Genomic DNA, 20,390 nt, shown 5'->3' with positions numbered 1-20,390 from the left:
GAGGGCCTATGAATCAGGAAGCCACAGAAAACCTAGCCATGTGTTACATCCGCCTTGGGTTGCCAATTTTCAGTATTAAGTTTTAGCGCACAAAAGAATAAATGAGAAAGGGAAACTATGGCAAAAGAGGTTGAGAAGAGAGGAAAATGGAAGGAAAACAATCCACATGGGCCATTATTCCTATTCGACAATGGATTTGCAGAGCACTTCCAGCGGTGTGACCCGGAGCATACTGAATTGCTCAAGGCAGCCCATTCCCTTAACATCACGCCATGTACCCCAGATGGTTGAGAGGAACAAGAGCATAATAAATGTGAAATGCATTCGAGTGGAGTTGTACTCGACTGGAGGTTAAGGTTCCAAAGTCATCAATAAAATCCAGTTGCAGCCCAATCCCCTGGACCTGAGCCTTTACTGTCAAAGGCAAAAAAACAGCTTTTTTTGTTTTCACTTTGCATTTAGACTGCGGCCTTCTCCTCTCTGAGACTGTGGAGGTCAAGGGCAAGTTTGAAGAGGAGGCAAGGAGAAATCACAGAGTAAAATGTAAAAGAAAAAAAATTCCTCTCACCTTTAAGGGTATAGAGTTGAATTTGTGTAATTAAATTTATGTGTGACATGATGTCACTGTAAGACATAAATATTTTATATCTCTTAAGGCTGCCTCTTTAATTAAGATTTAAATAGACCATGCCATTCAAATGCAGGTTATAGCAGGGCTCCTCAAACTGTACTGTGCACATAAGTCTCCTGGGATCTTGTTAAAATGAAAATTCTGATCTAGTAGGTCATGAGTGGGGCCAGATCATTTGCATTTCTAACTAACTCCTAGGAGATGTTGATGCTGCTGGTCCAAAGAGCACACTTCAAGTGGTTAGGAGCTGTAGACATCAGCTTTGAGATGGAAGCACCAACAGGCTGGTAGGAAAGACAGATGATTCCTCTTGGAAAATTCTGAAAATGTAGAATTTTGCATTCTGTTCCTGACACCCTCAATGATTAAAGGCCAAAAGCTTTTACTTTTTTATGGTCATTTCACAAAAACTAGAGGGAATTCCCAGTCTCTTACCATTCTTGGTTGGATCATATTGGGCACAGCCTGTTGCAAGCTTCTCCAGCTGAGAACAGCACCTCCACTTCCCATCCATCCAGAAATTAGGATGATATTTAGGCACCAAACTGTTATTATTCCTCGTTTCTGAAACAGGTTGGCACCAACAGAAGAGTTATTTCCAGGTCAGTCTATCAAGGGCTACCAATTTTATAACACCTCGAGATTAGACCTGGCTGAGTGAGCCTGAATGAGTATTGCCCAGACCACTCAGAAGCATGGGTTGATCTGAGCGCATAAATGCACTGTGCTATTTACTGGGGTAGTTCATGTTACATTTAGGCATCAGCACATCTAGGCTTGCGTCTGGCTCTGCCTTGCATTAGTTATGTGTTCTTAAGTTGGGCAAACCCTTATCTGAGCCTCAGTTTCCCCCACTATGCAATGAGATTGTTAAACACTGGGCTCTACAAAGGTGCCTTAAGGGTAATGAGAAGGTTGAGAAGGTGGAATTACCACCCCCCACCTCTCCTACCTTTAACCACAGCCACTTTGGTTTTCTCCCTTCTAGGTTTGTGGCTTTGAAGTAAGATTTTGGTTGGAAAAAAAAGGGGGGTCTGCTACTGAAACAAATACATACATAAGGCACAGAACAGAGTTGGGTGTAGTGGCTCATGCTTGTAATCCCAGTACTTTCGTAGGCCGAGGCAAGAGGATCACTTGAGTCCAGGAGTTCTAGATTAGCCTAGGCAACATAGCGAGACCCCTTTTCTACCAAAAAAAAAGAAAAAAGTTAGCTGGGCATGGTGTCATGCACCTGTAGTCCCAGCTACTCAGGAGGCTGAAGTGGGAGGATCACTTGAGCCCAATAGGTCGAGGCTGCAGTGAGCCATGCTTGTGCTACTGCACTCCAGCCTGGGTAACAGAGTGAGACCCTGTCTGATATCGTTTGGCTCTGTGTCCCCACCCAAATCTCATCTTGAATTGTAATCTCCATGATTCCTGCGTGTTGAGGGAGAGACCAGGTGGTGGTAATTGGATCACGGGGATATTTTCCCCCATGCTGTTCTTGTGATAATACGTGAGTTCTCATGAGACCTGATGGTTTTATAAGTATTTGGCAAGTTCCTCCTTCTGTCATTCTCTGTCCTGCCACCTTGTGAATAAGGTGATTGCCTCCCCTTCACCTTCCACCATGATTGTAAGTTTCCTGAGGCCTCCCAGCCATACAGAACTGTGAGTCAATTAAACCTCTTTTCATTATACATTACCCACTCTCGGGCATATCTTTATAGCAGTGTGAAAATGGACTAATACACTGTCTCAATGAATAAATAAATAAATGAACCAACCACAGAACTAGATATCTAATCTCTAATATTCCTTCCAGTTTTAACACCCTGTGTATAAAATCCCTTCACAGAGGGCAAATGGCCAATGACCATAGCTGGGGCCCTTTTGATTCCTTTTTTTTCTTCTTTTTTTTTTGGTGGGGTAAGAACAGGGTCTTGCTCTGTGACCCAGGCTCGGCTCACTTGGCTCACTGCAGCCTTGACCTCCCAGGCTCAGGTGATTCTCCCACCTCAGCCTCCCGGGTAGCTGGGAGCACAGGCATGTGCCACCATGCCTGCCTAATGTTTTTATTTTTAGTAGAGATGAGATCTCACTATGTTGCTCAGGCTGAAGTGCAGTGGCATGAGCATGGCTCACTGTAGCCTTGAACTCCTGAGCTCAAGTGATCCTCCCACCTTGGCTGCCCAAAGTGCTGGGATTACAAGTGTCAGCCACTGCGCCCAGCCCATTTTGATTACTTCTTACTTTTGTGTTTGCTGTATGTCCCAAGACTGTAAGAACGGAGAGCACTTCCCCATTCACCCAGCACTTGTCTGCTCATAACCGATTTAAGGCTCACAACAACCTCGGGATAAGATACAACTTGTATTTCTATTCTCATTTTTTTCAGATAGAGGAATTGCAGCTCCAGAGATAACAAATAGTTTGCTTATCCTTGGTCCTCACAGCTTCGTAGAGGCAGATTAGTATTTGAACCCAGATCTTCTGACACATCCAGTGCTTCAGGCTAAAGAACAATAATGGTAACATTGATCCAGGGCTTTCTTTGGGATGGGTATTTTTCTAAGTCCTCAATCATTCAATTCTCACAACAGCTCCATGACTGTTTTTAGTCAAAATTTATAGAGACACACGAAGGTCAAGGAACTTACCCAGGGTCACATGCTAATCATTGGCAGAGCTGGGATTTTCACCTTCATGCCTGGCTCCACATCCCATGTGCTTAAACACTGCTGCCTCTAACTGTGCCATCAGGAAGGTAAGGCTTAAGAAATACCCTTACCAATGGTCTGAAAAGCTTGAAAGCTAGCTGATATTTATTGCATGCTGTCTATGGGCCAACCTAGTTTCTAGGACTTTGCTCACATCAGCTCCAAAGGCAGGTGCTGTTATCCCTTCCTTTTCTTCCTTTTAAACAGATGGGAAACTGAAGCACAGGCAATTAAGGAACTCGCCCAAGTGTACATAGCAAGTGACAGACTGGGATTTAAACCCAGGTCATCTCACATGAGGGCCTATGCTCTGCTTCTTCATACTATACGAGGAGTTGGCAAATTTGTTCTTAAAAGGCCAGACAGTAAATATTTTAGGTTTTACTGACCATGAGACAAAATCAAGCATCTTATGTAGGTACTTATTAAACTATTTGAAATGAGTTATATACAAATATTGCTCAGAGCCTGACAAGAACAGACAGCAGGCTGGATTTGGTCAATCCCTGAATGATACCAGTTATTGCTTCCTGGGCCCAGGATGAAAACTTGGGAACTTCCACCAACCCCAAAAGAGAAATCAGCCATCAGCTGCTCTCACACCACACTCTATTCTATTGTGGAACCCAACCCTACTATAGGATCAAGAGTGTCAGTGATTCAATGGCAAAGGAGTTTAATTACCTTCTTTAAGGGCCAGCACCCAGCGCTGCCGGCTCTCACGATCTGGAGCAAACACATATAGGAGGTAGTTGTCATGCACCACCTGGAGACACACACACAGAGTTCAAGGTGAGCAGCGTGCATGGAGATAGTTGACTGACAGCAGACCTACTGAGCCGAGAGTGGGGTCTCGGGTGTTTATCGTCATATAGGCAAACATTTGGGTAATTAGGGGGCCAGTATCCTTTTTATCCAGGTGTTTGGGTGCTACAAAAACACAGGGTAAGCAGTTTCAGCTGCTCGTCTCAGATTCCATGCCCCAAGAGAGCAATCACTAAACTAAGACAGCAGGAGAAAGTTCTCCTCTTGACTAGAAACCACATTTATTTCTCATCTTAAGTTTTTAGTGATTAAAAAAATATTTCTGGCACATGGAAGAGAAAGATATTATATGACAAATGTGCAATGAGAGTTTTGAAAACTTCTTATTTTGAAATAGTTTAAGACTCACAAGAAGTTCCAGAAATAGTACAGAGTTCCTGTGTACTTTTCACCTACTTTTCTCCACTGATGACATCTTACGTAACCACAACACATCTTTCAAAACTCACTCATAGGTGGGAATTGAACAATGAGATCACATGGACACAGGAAGGGGAATATCACACTCTGGGGACTGTGGTGGGGTGGGGGGAGGGGGGAGGGATAGCATTGGGAGATATACCCAATGCTAGATGACGAGTTAGTGGGTGCAGCGCACCAGCACGGCACATGTATACATATGTAACTAACCTGCACAATGTGCACATGTACCCTAAAACTTAAAGTATAATAAAAAAAAATTAAAAAAAAAAAAAACCAAGAGATTGTCATTGGTACAATACTGTTAACTAAACTGCAGTCTTCTTTATATTTCACCTCTCTTTTAGGCACTCATTATCATTGAGATTTTGAACAACTGAAAAATACATGCTATTCCTTTTATTTTCAGTCCTCAAAATTCCAACTCATGAGGGTCACTTTTCTAGTAGAAAAAAAGTTCTTTTCTATGCCATGTTAAAAATATGTTCATCCCTCAGGTTGGCAAGCAGGAATGGTACCCTGGGATGTGCAAGGAGATATCCATGCCTTTGAAGCCAGAAGTGCCAAGATTCATATACAAGGACTTTAAAGATACCCTCCACCAGCTCTGTTCAGTAGAACTTTGGGAGGCCGAGGCGGGTCGATCACGAGGTCAGGAGTTTGAGACTAGTCTGACCAACATGGTGAAACCCCATCTCTACTAAAAATACAAAAATTAGCCGGGAGTGTTGGCACACGCCCGTAGTCCCAGCTATTCAGTAGGCTGAGGCAGGAGAATCACTTGAACCAGGGAGGTGGAGGTTGCAGTGAGCCGGGATTGCGCCACTGCACTCCAGCCTGGGTGACAGAGTGAGACTCTGTCTCAAAAAAAAAAAAAAAATTTCTGCAGTGATAGGAACATTCTATAACCAGTGCTGTTTCAGTACAGTAGCTGCCAGCCATGTCCTGCTATTGAACATGTGAAATGTGCCCAATGTGACTAAGAAGCTGAATTTTTAATATCGTTTAATACATTTAAATGTGAACATCCATGTGTGGCTAGTGGCTACTGTACTAGACAGTGCGATTCCAGATAGTCCTCAGATTATAAAATCTGAATCTTTTTGCCTCAGAATCTCCAAGCAATTCATACCCAGCAATTGCAATATGTTGCCTCAAATCATGAGTAAACTGCACTTAAAGCACATTAGGTTTCAGGCCGCTGATAGCAGCTTTATTTCTTCCTTCACTAATTAGGACTTTCCTTGAGGAAGAGAAGACATGAGGGAAAGGGGTATAAGGAATAACCACCTTTTCAAGATTTTGTGCTTAATTTTTGTTCAATAAGTGAAAGAATTAACAAATAAATGTCACTGATGGAAGGAACACATACGTTTCCTAATGGGATTTGTCTAAGTCCTAACCTTGGAGCAGAGAGGCAGAGAGTCATCCGTGTCCACCCTCTCTCACAGTGACTGAGGATTTTTTTTTTTTTTTTTTGACGGAGTCTCACTCTGTTGCCTGGGCTGGAGTGAATGGCACGATCTTGGCTCACTGAAAACTCTGCCTCCTGGGTTCAAACAATTCTCCTGTCTCAGCCTCCCGAGTAGCTGGGATAACAGGCGCCCGCCAGTACGCCCAGCTAATTTTTTGTATTTTTAGTAGAGATGGGGTTTCATGTTGGCCAGGCTGGTCTTGAACTCCTGACCTCGTGATCTGCCTGCCTCAACCTCCCAAAGTGCTAGGATTACAGGCTTGAACCACTGCACCCGGCTGTGACTGAAGATTTTAACCACAGTCCAGGGAATGGGGAACTACCCACCTGATGGACTTACCTGAAACGGGTATTTATAGTGGCATGGGATGCTGATGTCACTTTTCACAATCTCAACACATTTGATTCGGGAGAGCTCAATGGACCCCTTCAGCGTGCGCTTCTTCTGTGGGGAGAGAAGAACATCCCATTCATGTAAGAAAGAAGACAATATTTTTGTCCAGATTGCTCCAGAAATCTACTGCTAGATAAGATCCATTGGCTTTTTAAACCTATTCCAACCCTCCAAACCAAATATCCAAAACTGCCTCCTGGCCCTAAGTGTGGGATAAACACTCTGAGCAGACTCCTGGGGACACATGCCTTTAGAGTCTTCTTCTTGGTGACAGGTTTCCACTCAGTGAGACACGGGGTCATGTACCCCACTGCCCTTGTGACAAATGGCAGCATTGGCAGAACTTGTAGCTGAGATGCGTAGAGAAATCCATGGACACACATATGACAATTTTCTCTTCTCTGTGTCTATCCATGACCATATTAGCATAGTAATTGAGCTCGGACCCGACCTGGATTGTGGTGCATACCCTTAGTGGCACCTTTTTTTTTCTGCCTCTGGCTTCTCCATGTCCTTTAATTATCCGCAGTCCCACAATGACACTCCCAAAGGACATTCCTGACTCTGATCTATAACTATCCCTTCTCCATGTCCTCCCCAACCTCCCCATCAAATACTACTGGGCCTGTGTCTCATTTCCTTGGAAACTTGCTAGCTGTATTTCCCTGATAACTAATTCACATGATGGTATTTGTGATTTATAATGATGTTACATGTTACCTATTTCTAAGGATCCTTGTGCTTGGAGAATGGATCTCAGGGGATTTGATGCTTTAGCCAATGGAACAAATTCCATTGGTGGTCTATCAGGCTCCAAGGAAAGATAGTTAGGAAAGTGCTTCTGGATGGAAGAAGCCTCTCACAGGTACCTAGAATTGAGCTGCCATTGAGAATTCAGCTATGGAATTCAGCTATGGAACCAGTTGCAAAATACGTCATTATACCCACTACCAATCAATCCCAAAAGACACGATTCTGAATGTCATAGTCCTGAATGCTGAAATCCTGAATGATAAAAATCCCTGAAGTCTAAGTCCTTAACATCTAAAATCTCAAAAATCACGATTAGTGAATTTTCTGTTGTACACAGGATAGCCTCATTATGTTAGTTGCATCTTGTTAGGCAGAACTATTACTTTGTTATTGTCTTCATTTGGAAATTACGTGTGGTTTAAGATATGTATGGGTGCCAAATAGACAAGGGATGGACTTGTAGACTTAATTTTAGGTGTCAAATTGACTGGATTAAGGAGTATCTAAGGCTGGACATGGTGGCTCACGCCTGTAATCCTAGCCCTTTGGGAGGCCGACACGGGAAGATCACCTGAGATCAGGAGTTCGAGACAGCCTGCCCAACATGGTGAAACCCCACCTCTACTAAAAATACAAAAATTAGCCAGGTGTGGTGGCGGGCGCCTATAATCCCAGCTACTCTGGAGGCTGAGGCAGGAGAATGGCGTGAATCCGGGAGGCGGAGCTTGCAGTGAGTGGAGACCGCACCATTGCACTCCAGCCTGGGCGACAGAGCAAGACTCAAAAAAAAAAAAAAAAAAAAAAAAAAAGAGACGTATCTAGATACGTGATAAAGCATTATTTTGGGGTGTGTCTGTGAGGGTGTTTCCAGAGTAGACTAGTATGTGTATCAGAATGGGCGAGGTGGGGGAGATCTGCCCTCAGTGTTGGTGGACACCATTGAATCAGCCAGGGACCCTAAGAGAACAAATACTGAAGGCAAATTAGTCTGTCTCTGAGAGTTGGGACAGAATTTTCTTCTGCTGTTTTTGATTAATCTCATTAAAAGACTTAGGTTGTCTATCATAGCATTTCAGATGACCATGGTTATATAAGCTGTTTCTTTTTTAAAAAAATTTAAAGGTGAAATATATTGCATATTAGTTTTTTTGTTTTAAAAATCAGCTTTATTAAAGTATAATTTACATATAATAAAATTTACCAATGTACATTTCAGTGAGTTTTGACAAATGTATACATTTGTGTCATAATCTCTGTAATTAAGATACAGGAAAAGAAATAACCAAAATCAGAGCTGAACCAAAGGAGATTGAGACACAAAAAATTATTCAAAAGATCAATGAATCCAAGGGTTGGTTTTTTGAAAAAATTAATAGGATAGATAGGCCACTAGCTATACTCATAAAGAAGAAAAGAAGGAAGATCCAATTAAACACAACTAGAAATGACAAAGAGGATGTTACCACTAACCCCACAGAAATACAAATAATCAGAGACTACTATGAACACCTCTATGCACACATATTAGAAAACCTAGAAAAATGAATCCATTCCTGGACAACATACACCCTCCCAAGACTGAACCAGGAGGAAATTAATTCCCTGAACAAATCCATAACAAACTCCCAAATTGAATCAGTAATAAATAGCCTACCACCCAAAAAAAGCCTGGGACCAGATGGATTCACAGCCGAATTCTACCAGATGTACAAAGAAGAGCCAATGTAATTCCTACTGAAACCATTCCAAGAAATTGAGGAGGAGCGTCTCCCCCACAACTTATTCTATGAGGCCAGCATCATCCTGATACCAAAACCTGGCAGAGATACAACAAAAAAGAAAACTTCAGGCCAATATTGATGAACATCGAAGCAAAAATTCTCAAGAAAATACTTGCAAACCAAATCCAGCAGCACATCGAAAAGCTAATCCAGCCAGGCGTGGTGGCTCATGCCTGTAATCCTAGCACTTTGGGAGGCTGAGGAGGGTGGATCACTTGAGCCCAGGGGTTCGAGACCAGCCTGGGAAACGTGGTGAAACTCTGTTTCTACAAAAAATTACAAAAATTAACTGGATATGGTGGTGCACACCTGTAGTCCCAGCTTCTCGGGAGGCTGAGGTGGACAGAAGTTGCAGTGAGCCAAGATCATGACACTGCACTCCAGCATAGGTGACAGAGCAATACTGACTCAAAAAAAAAAAAAAAAAAAAGGCTAATCCTTTTTTACATGATCAAGTAGGCTTTAGGAATGCAAGGTTGGTTCAACATATGCAAATCAATAAATGTAATTCATCACGTAAATAGAACTAAAGGCAGAAATCACGATTATCTCAATAGATGCAGAAAAGGCTTTCAATAAAATTCAACATTGCTTCATGTTAAAAACTATCAATAAACTAGATATTAAAGGAACGTACGTCAAAATAATAAGAGCCATCTATGACAAACTACAGCCAACATCATACTGAATGGGCGAAAGCTGAAGGCGTTCCCCTTGAATACCAGCTATTTCTTTAGGAATATAGTTTGTCTGCTCATAACTGTTATACCCATGTGACTGTCCTTAGTATACTTGGGTGTTTATGTTTGCAAAAATATGTATATTATTATTGCCTATTTTATTGCACAAGGTGGCCTATGAAGCATTTCGTCATGTCTTCATATGTTTCTCAAATAAATCCACTTTAAAATGTAAACAAATGTCTTTTAAAAAAGTTTTTAAAATTATTTTTTCCAGAATTATATTTTTGGGTATTTTTACATTTTGTATTTCAATATTTGGGATTATGGTGTTCAGGATTGTGGCCCAAACCCCATTCTACCTTATTTTTTTAAGGAGGTAGCAAATGATGGTGAAATGAGCACACGTTTGGGAAAGCTATGTTTAAAGTAGGTCTCTGCCTCTTACTATAAGAGCTCTGTGACTTTGGGCAATTCATTAAACTTCCCAGAACCCTGGTTTTTACATCTGATAAGTGGGGATAATACCTACCTTTTGAGAGTTGATTGGGGAATAAAATAGGATGATGTCAACAAATTAACTGGCTTATAACAGATGCCCTCAATAAAGGGTATCTTCCCAATTAAAGAAGTTAAGGAAGCCTTAACTATCGCAAGAGATTTGTGATATATGAGCGTGCTTGGTTGATATCCAGGGACCCATTACATCATCAAATTCTCCCAAAGTGAATTCAGTCTTTACTTCCTGTTTTTGGGTCCTCAGCCCGGAAGCTGATCTTTGATTTAGTAGCTGAGGAACAGAACTGAGATAAAAAAAATTCAAGATGCGAGAAGCAGACCCTATCAAATACAGGAAAGCTTTGTGGTGTCTGGTTTTTAGTTTTTTAAGTAAAAACAACTTTATCCATTATTGAAAGTACAAAATCTATTTATGTTTTTTGTGACAAATGAAAACACTGTAGAGGCTCAGTATGGTGGCTAATGCCTGTAATCCCAGATCTTTTTTTTTTCTCTTTTTTGTTTTTTTGAGATGGAGTCTTGCTCTGTCGCCCAGGCTGGAGTGCAGTGGTGTGATCTCGGCTCACCGCAACCTCCACCTCCTGGGTTCAAGCGATTCTCCTGCCTCAGCCTCCTGAGTAGCTGGGACTACAGGCATGTGCCACCACGCCCAGCTAATTTTTTGTATTTTTAGTAAAGAGGGGGTTTCACCGTGATAGCCAGGATGGTCTCCATCTCCTGACCCTGTGGTCCACCCACCTCAACCTCCCAAAGTGCTGGGATTATAGGCGTGAGTCACTGCGCTGGTCCCCAATTTTTTTTGTATTTTAGTAGAGATGGGGTTTCACCATGTTGCCCAGGGTGGCTTGGAACTCCTGAGCTCAGGCAATCTGCCCGCCTCAGCCTCCCAAAGTGCTGGGATTACAGGCATGAGCCAACATGCCCAGCCAATCCCAGATCTTTGAGAGGCTGAGGTAGGAGGTCATTTGAGCCCAAGAATTCGAGAGCAGCCTGGGCAACATAGTGAGACAATGCAAAAAATTACATAAATTAGCCAAGCCTCATGGTGTGCACCTGTAGTCCCAGCTACTTGGGAGGGTGAAGTGGGAGAATCACTTGGGCCCATATGTTTCAGGCTGCAGTGAGCTGTGATAGTGATGGTGCCGTCGACCCCAGCCTGGGTGACAGAGCAGGACACCGTTTCAAACAAGCAAACAAACAAAACAAAATACTACAGAGGCATGTGAAGAAAATATTTATAGTGTGTTATTATCCCACCCTTCCCCATAACCCTGAGGTAGCCAAAGTTAATCATTTGGAGTATATTTGTCTTTTCCCTGCACTTTTATAGGGTATATATAAAGGAAAATGAGTGTCTTGCTCTACATATCAGTCTAGAACTTGCTTTTGTAGTCTAATGCTAAATTAGGAGGTTTGTCTTCCCGCAAAAGCCTCTGCAAACGTGCCCTTTGGGCTCAAACTATCTTCTCATTTACTGTTAGAAATGCAAGCTCTGGTCCTGCCCATAATCACAGTTCTTTGGAATGGTTAACCTGTTTTTTCACAAATAGTAGAGCACAGCGGAGCTGCCTTTTCAAGAACTGTCTGCAGCTACTGGTAAACAGGGTGCACGAGCTTGAGGTTGCTGTGTTTTGACCTCTGTTGGGTTCTTTCTTTAGGGCATGCATAGTGAAATAAAAACAACAGGCTCATGGCATGTGATATGACAACTCCATTTGCTGACATTTTTGTCTTTGGAACCTACTAGGTCCTGAGCTCCCTAAGGTCAGAGACCAGGGCATCTTCCCATATACCCAGTGCCCAGCAGTGGCTGGCCCTCAGTGGAGCTTAATTAGCTCAAAACAAAGGGTGTCAGGTTGGAACACAGTTTAAACAATCTTAAACAGATTTAAGGCTAGTACATTTAGCCATTCAGGAAATATTTATGGAGGGCCAGCTATGAGTGAGGTGCTATTCTGAGTTCAGGAAATGAACTGATGAACATGATAGACTCTCACAGAGCCCGTAGTATACTTGGGAAGGCAGACAAAACAAAGAAGTGCTGGAAAGAGAATAGAACAGTTGATGTGACCAAACTGTGGCCAAGGCAGACCTCTCTGGAGAGAGAAAGGGCATCTAAGAAGAGACCAAAAAGTCGAACAGGAGCCATCTGGGAGAAGGTCTAGGGGAGTGAGCATCCCAGGTAGAGCAAGCAGCCAGGGCAAAATCCTGGGGTAGAAAAATACTGGGTAAGTCTGGCTTGTTAACAGCCTAGCAGCATTGTGATGAGGGCAGACAGTGGAGGCAAATATTAACTGGAATTGTGAACAGGGATAAAAATTCTATGTGAAGTTCTAAAGTGATAGTGTCCAATAGAAATGTAACATGAGCCATATATGTAACTTAAAAGTTTTTCCAGTAGGCACATTCAAAAATGCAAAACATAACAAGTAATAATTTTAACAATAAATTTTGTTTAACCCAATATCTAAAATATTATCATTTCAAATTGTTAGGTGATTTCTGACAGAACTTAAAACAGAATTACCATTTGACCCAGCAATCCCATTCTTGGGTATATACCCAGAGGAATATACACTATTCTACCATAAAGACGCATATACACATATGTTCATCACAGCACTAATCACAATAGCAAAGATATAGAATTAACCTAAATGCCCATTAACAAAAGAATGAATAAAGAAAATGTGAGGCCAGGCGTGGTGGCTCACATCTGTAATCCCAGCATTTTGGGAGTCCAAGGCAGCAGATCACTTGAGGCCAGGAGTTCGAGACTAGCCTGGGCAACATGGTGAAACCCCATCTCTACTAAAAATATAAAAATTAGCTGGGCATGATGGTGCACACCTGTAATCTCAGGCACTTGGGTGGCTGAGGCACAAGAATTGCTTGAACTCGGGAGGCAGAGGTTTCAGTGAGCTGAGATCGTGCCACTGCATTCCAGCCTGGGTGACAGAGTAAGACTCTGTCTCAAAAAGAAAAGAAAAGAAAAGAAAATGTGGTAAACATACACCATGGAGAATTATGCAGCCATAGAAAAGTATGAGATTGTGTCCTTTGCAGCGACATGGGTAGAGTTGGAGGCCATTAGCCCAAGTGAACTAACACAGGAACTAAAAACCAAATGCTGCATGTTCTCGTAAGTGGGGGCTAAAAAGTGAGCACATATGGGTATAAAGAAGGGCACCACAGATACCGGCACCTACTCGAGGGTGGAGGGTGGGAATTGAAAATCTACCTACTGGGTACTATGCTTATTACCTGGGTGATGAAATAATCTGTACACCAAACCCCTGCAACATGCAATTTACCTATATGAAAACCTGCACATGTACCTCTGAACCTAAAATAAAAGTTAAAAAAATTAATTTGTATGTTGATCTTGTATCTTTTGACATGGATGAATTTGTTTAATAGTCCTAGTGGGTTTTTAGGAAGTTCCTTACAATTTTTTTTTTTTTTTTTTTGTGGAAAATTATGTGGTGTGCAATGAAAAAGAGTTCTACTTTTTTTTCTCAATCTGGAGAATTTCATTTCACTTTATAGTGTAATTTATCTGGCTAGTACTTGCAGAACAGTGTCGAATAGAGTGTTAAAAGTGGAAATTGGCCAGGCACAGTGGCTCATGCCTGTAATCCCAGCACTTTGGGAGGTTGAGGCAGGTGGATTACTTGAGGTCAGGAGTTTGAGACCAGCCTAGCCAACATGGTAAAATTTTGTCTCTAAGAAAATACAAAAATTAGCCAGGCATGGTGGTACGCATCTGTAATCCCAGCTGCTCGGGAGGCTGAGGCAGGAGAATCCCTTGAACCCAGGAGGTGGAGGTTGCAGTGAGCCAAGATCATGCCACTGTACTCCAGCCTGGGTGACAGAGCAAGACTCCATAAAAAAAAAAAAAAAAAAGTGGAAATTTATGTCTTGTTCCCAAACTTACAGATAAAGCACTCAGTCTTTCACCATTAAGTATAATGTTAGTTGTAGGTTTTCATAGATGACTTTTTGCAAGACTCAAAATTTTTTTTCTATTAGTGTACTGGGGGTTTTATCACAAAGAGTGTTGGATTTGTCAAATATTTTTCTTTGTTTATTGAAATGTTCTTTTTTGACATTTATTCAAGTAATATTGTATATTATCTTAATTGACTTTAGGATAGTGAGCCAACATTGCATTTGTGAAAATAAAATCTTACTTGGTTGTAGTATATTAAAAAAATTGTTATCCACACAAAAATTAATGAGTTTTTTTTGTACTTAAGTCTTTGAAATTGTATATTTTGTGCATATCTCAATTTGCACTTGCCATACTTCAGGTGCTCAGTAGACCCCTATGCCAGTAGACTTCAGGTGCTAGTGGTTACCTTAGTGGACAGCGAGACTCCAAGATTTCCAAGGAGGAGTTCTCCTACCAACTCACATGGCCTCCTTTGTGCCTGTGCCTTAACAGGCTGTCAGATGAGCTTGCTCTCAGGCTTGCTCTTCTGTTGGGATGGATTTCATGTTCCACCGTCAACGTCACTCTCATTCCCAAATGAGTGCTTGGGATCCACCACCACAATCCATCCTGACTGGTTGGTCAGTCTTTCCAAAGACCCTGAGGTTGGTTCTTCTGGCATCTCACAAGATCCAATACTTGGTAAACAGCAGGACCAGCTATGTCCTCCCTAGTTGGTCCCCGGGGGGTGGCTGGTCAATGAGCCCGACACAGTTCAGTCTCTGGGAAAGGGTGATTGCCTATAATCATCCCAAACAACTGTGCTATTTCTGAAAAATGCCAGGGTAAAACTTTCCAAGGAAACCACACAAAAGCCACCAGAGAAAGGGAGAGGCCAAGTACAACCTGCTCTCATTCTTACTTGTTATTCTGTCTGCATTACTTGGGGCGAAAGTCACAGGACCTTGCTTACCCTTGTCTCTTTTCTTGGCCACGTTCAAAGATATGCCATCCTCATAGTCTGATGTTTCATCCCAAGCATCTGACACGTGTCAGACACAATTCAAGATGCTGATGCTTACAAATCTTCACAAGGGTAAGCTTGTGCAATCAGCTTTTATATCTTTTTTCTTTTTATGTTACTATTTCTCTCTCTCTTTTCCCCTTTCCTTTCTTCTTTCCTTTCTCTCTTTCTTTCCTTCTTTTTCTTTTTCTCTTTTTTAACAAACCCTTGTATTAAGGGCTGACTTTCAATAGATCTCACAGAGAAGGAGCTGCTCTGCTATGTACAAAACCCCAACCCAGAAACAGGTTGTTTACAAATGGGTCAGCATCAGGTTTCCCATAAATGTGCATTGCTTGATAGATAGATGAGGGGGCAGGGCGGCTTTTTATGTTAATATTTTTATGAAATAGAGCTTGGATTATAAGTTTCAAAGAGAGAAGCAGGAAAAAACATGAAAATGATACTATTTTTGAACATTTTCTATATTCCAGGCATTCAACATTCCATCCTGTTTCATCACGATCCTACAACATATTATCTCCCCATTTTATAGATGAGAAAATTGAAGTTCACAGAGGCCAACCCTCTTAATACGTAGAAGAGCAGCGTACAAGCTCCACTCTATGACTCCAGAGCCTGATAACCTAACTACTATGCTTCCTGGCTTAGCACTTGCTGGGACTTTCCACAGAAGACTATCATTCCCTGAACTCAGTGCTGGAAAATCAATTGTGTGACCCATTTCACCAAGCCATGGACTCGCAGAGCTTTGTTTCTGTCCCATTTGACTGAGCAATGCTTATGCTGGATTGCAAAGGTGGAACACACTCCCTGGTTCCTCAGAATAGCCACTCCTCTTTGCTCCAACAACATTGGCTCTTTTGCTGCTGGACTAGCCCAGCAAATGTGTCGATGAGAAGTTATGTGTCTGCTACCCATGGGAAAAGGACATCTCCACGTTTCTAAAAAAATAGCAGTTTTCAGCTTTCTCCTCTGGTAAGGCAGAGTAGGGGAGAACTGGAGCTTTCAAGTAGGGCAGACTCAGGTTTGCATCCTAACCTCATTCCTTATCAGCTGTGCAACCTGAGGCAAGTGTCTCAACCTCTCAGTTGCCTCATTTTTCAAAAGCGACATAAGAATAGTCTCTGAATCATTAAGTTAATTAAGAGAATTTTTTAAAATTACATAAACCTACTAGCAAATGCTAGTAGCAATGGCTCATGCCTATAATCCCAACACTTTGGGAGGCCAAAGAAGGAGGGTCGCCTGAGGCCAGGAGTTCAACAACAGTCTGGGTAACATAGTGAGGCCCTGTCTCTACAAAAAAATTTTAAAAGTTAGCCAGGTGTGGTGGCACATGCCCGTAGTACCAGCCACTCCGGAGGCTGAGGCAGGAGGATCAGTTGAGCCTGGGGGGTTGAGGTTGCAGTGAGTCATTATCATGTCCCTGCACTCTGGGTGATAGAGTGAGACACTGTCTCAAACAAAACAAGATAAAACAAAACAAAAAAGATATGCTCATTACTGTCTCTATGGAAAAATTAGCATCTTGTAAAACACCAGAGCAATTTGCAATGAGCTGTTCCTAGTTCCTCCCTCCCCAGCCCATCTTCAGCTAGACCTAACCTCCCTCTATTCTAAAGCTCTGGGAAAGTCTGGAGCTAAGACCATTAATTTCAAGGCTCCCTGGACCACCTTAAAGCCAGGAAACTGATCCATCCCACACCTGTCTTCGTTTCTCTCTTCTTTTCCATAAGACCTCTTACTCATCACTGGCCCACCGTTGGCTGGCTTTCTCCACCTCAGCATTTCGCACTGTGGGTTACCATGTGGCTGGATGTGCTATGAGGAAAACAATTTCACTTCCTTTAAAACCTGCCATTTGAAAATAGTAACACCCTGGCCACCCAAATGAAAAAAGTGAGACTTTTCAAAAGGAAAGAAGGAAAGGAACAAAGAAGGAAAGAAAAGAAAAGAAAAAGAATTATTCTTACATACAGTTTTCAGAGGGCAATTTAGGATCATCTATTAAAATGTGTTTTCTCATAAGAAACTATGAAGAGCAGATACCTGTGTGGGTGGTCCTGGGGGCTGGGAGTAGGGAGTGTGAAGAGAGCTTTCTTTCTTTCCTTTTTTTTTTTTTCTTAAGAGATAGAGTCTTGCTCTGTTGTCCAGATTGGCCTTGAACTCCTGGTCTCAAGCAATCCACCCGCCTTGGCCTCCCAAGGAGCTTTTCTTTTTACCTTGTATCCTTCTGTACTCTTTGAATATTTTGCCATGAATGTGTATTTCTTTTATAATATTAAAAACAGTTAACTAAAATGAATAAATACATTTCCCTGATCTGATTTATTCTATGGAAACATTTGTTCAAAATATATAAAGATGTAATAAAAAGGATTTTCACAGAAGCATTATTTATTACACTAAAATAAACTGGAAAAACTTAAATATCCATCAATAGACAAATGGTTAAATTAGTTATGGTTAAACATCCATCTGTGTATGGTTAAATTCGTCATCATACATAATGACTACTCTGTAACCATTAACAGATAATAAAGTTCATCTATACAGAGGGACAAAAGTATATACCAAGTGTTAAAGAGCAGATTTAAAGCAACAGATGGAGCATCATCCCATTTTTGGAAGAAGAGATTATGTATTAGTATATGCAATATCCAAAGAAATAATACAAGAAGAAAAACATTCCAAGCTGCTAACACTGGTTCTTTGTTGTAGGTTCCACTGTGGCAGAATTTCACAAAGTTATATATTCTTATGATATTTGAAGTTTTTACAGAGAGTGTGAAGCAGGAGGAAAAGCAGAGAAATGAAAATAATATTTTAATACAGTTAGAAGTTTCAAAAACATCATAGTGTCAACTTAGATGATTATGGGAGAGGAATAAGGGGTATGCATCAAATGCTGGGTGTGCGAAATGATGCACGCCCTTGTAACCGCATAACCCCATTAGCAGTGAGCAGCAGCTAGAGAGCACCTGCCACCTGCTCATCTGTATCCATGGGGGTTCAAGTACATGACAGTCTCTCTCATGTTCTTCTTGAGGGATAGCCTTTTTCTTCATAGATTCTAATAAAGTAATTCAGTGTGCTTTTATATGGGTATATTTATCTTATAAGTGAAATGATAACTCAGGAATAATGTCCAAGCCCCATTCTTACTAGATCAAGGTAACATGATCCTAGCATGTTGAAAACATGTGTGTTTAGATTTTCTTACAAAAGGGAGCAGAGAGAAAAGGACTTATGTGGAAATTAGGAGCAAGAACTAAGTGATATTTTCCAAGCATAAAGTAGATTCTCAAGGCATCCTCTGTATTGTTTCTGTCAGTATCTCTGAGCTGTGAATATTCCTTCAAAGACCTTCCTCCCAGAATAAGAAATATGAAATGTTAAATGAGTTTGAAAGAACGTATTTTTTGTGTCTTCTTTTTAAGCACTGAAGGACCAGTAGCCAAAATACATAAGTGCATAAAAACTTCATTGCATTTCAGGAAATAACTGCTTGCACTGAGGCGATGTTCAATTAATATCTGTTAATTGATTGAAGGAACAGCAAGTAAAACCAAGTATGCAGCAGAAAGTGATTATTGTGAACCCTATGACAAAACTTTTAATGGAAATGATTTGGAATAAGATTTCCAGAAAAATTGGCAGGTGGATAAAAATCTCTTGACAATGAAAATGTAGGTTAAAACTAGTCTGCCCAAAGTGTTTAGCTGGTAGTTAAAGAGCTCCTACAAATTAAATAAAATACTAATAAACTTATAGGAAAATGAACAAAAGGAATATATTTAAGCATATGGAAAGATGCTTAATGTCACTATAACAACAGAAATGCAAATAAATTATACTTAAGTACTATTTTTTAAACCCCTATCAGATTAGCAAAGATCAAAACATAAGATAATGGTGTTTGTGAGGTTTTGAGAAAACATGCTTCTCACATGTGGCCCTGGGGAATGTTCACTGGTACAACTTCTGTAGAGAGTAATTTGCTCATAGTCAACAAAATAACAGATGCAAATATCCTTTGACTCAGCAATTCCACTTCTAGAAATGTTTTCTACAGACTGGAGCTTCTCAGCCTCAGCATTATTGACATTTTGGGCTGAATAATTTTTTGTTGTGAGTCTGTCCTGTGAATTGTAGGATATTTAGCAGCACCCTCAGCTTCTACCCACTAGATGTTGGTGGCACCCTCCTCCCCACTTATAACAACCAAAAATTTCCCCAGGTTTTGTCAAATGTCCCCTGGTGGGCAAAATCACCTTTGGTTGAGAACCACTGTTATAAAAGTATTTATGGAAAATGACACATCTACAAGGCTGTTCATTTCTCATTGTGCATAATAACAAAAACTGGAAACAGACCAACCTTCATTAAAAGAAATTTTTCATGCATACAATGAAGTATTATGCAACCATAAACAGAATGAAGAATATCTTTGTGTATCAGTGTGGATCAATCTCCAGGATACATTGTTAACCAACTAAAAGAAAAGTTAAGAAGTGTGTGCAGAGTATGTTACTACTATTTAAAAAGGAAGAAAAGAAGAATGTTTATTAGTATTACAAGTATATGTATAAAGTATTATTGGAAGAACTTATAAGAAATTAACTATCGTGGTTGCTGTGATGTAGGACAGCAATGTGACTTGGGACAAAGATGGGAGATTTGTTACTGCATAACATTTTGCAACTGTTTTTTTAAAATTATTGAAATGTGCCACATGGCGAAAGGCCATTATCTGAAAAAATAAAAATAAAATTATGTGAATGTATTATCTCTTTAAGGATTAAAAATTAGTCTGCATTTTTCACAAGATCGCCAAACAAAAGTGACTATTAATACACAGATATGAAGTCCAGCAGGCACGGAGGCAAGGGGACAAAGATTCATTCCAACAGCAGTTAATTATGTGTTAGGAACCAGTTATATAAATCTGAAACACAGTTGGAAAGCAACGTGAACAATACTAACTTCATGTTATTGAGGTTTACAATGAGCTTGTTTGGAATTAGAACAGCCTTTTCTTGGATTGAGAGAAATGTGGGTTCAGTTTGTGGCAGGAGGCTCATTTGCTCACTGTGCTCTGGCAGAACGTGGGGGCCTGGGATCTCTTTTGACCATCTTCCCTGCTCCTCTGTGCTTATATCTATTAATGGCAAAAACCACAATTACTTTTGCAGCAACCCAATATCTTCAAGTGCCCTGGACTCTGTGGATCACCTCTGCGTCTCCAAA

General features: G+C 41.0%; 1 protein-coding gene across 1 annotated transcript in view; it reads right to left on the bottom strand.

Moving 5' to 3' along the window:
• Positions 1-20,390, bottom strand: part of ITK (IL2 inducible T cell kinase) — a 74,346-nt gene that overhangs the window by 39,800 nt on the left and 14,156 nt on the right. The window contains exons 2-4 of the mRNA NM_005546.4: positions 6,393-6,497; positions 4,018-4,099; positions 1,067-1,195 (exon numbers count right to left, since the gene is read on the bottom strand). Coding sequence (NP_005537.3) covers positions 1,067-1,195; positions 4,018-4,099; positions 6,393-6,497 — 316 coding nt within the window. The remainder of the gene's footprint in view (positions 1-1,066; positions 1,196-4,017; positions 4,100-6,392; positions 6,498-20,390) is intronic.

The sequence above is a fragment of the Homo sapiens genome, chromosome 5 (genome assembly GCF_000001405.40).
Source record: "Homo sapiens chromosome 5, GRCh38.p14 Primary Assembly".
NCBI lineage: Eukaryota > Metazoa > Chordata > Mammalia > Primates > Hominidae > Homo > Homo sapiens.
Note: the sequence above shows the minus strand (reverse complement) of the source record. Positions and strands in the feature narration are given on the sequence as shown.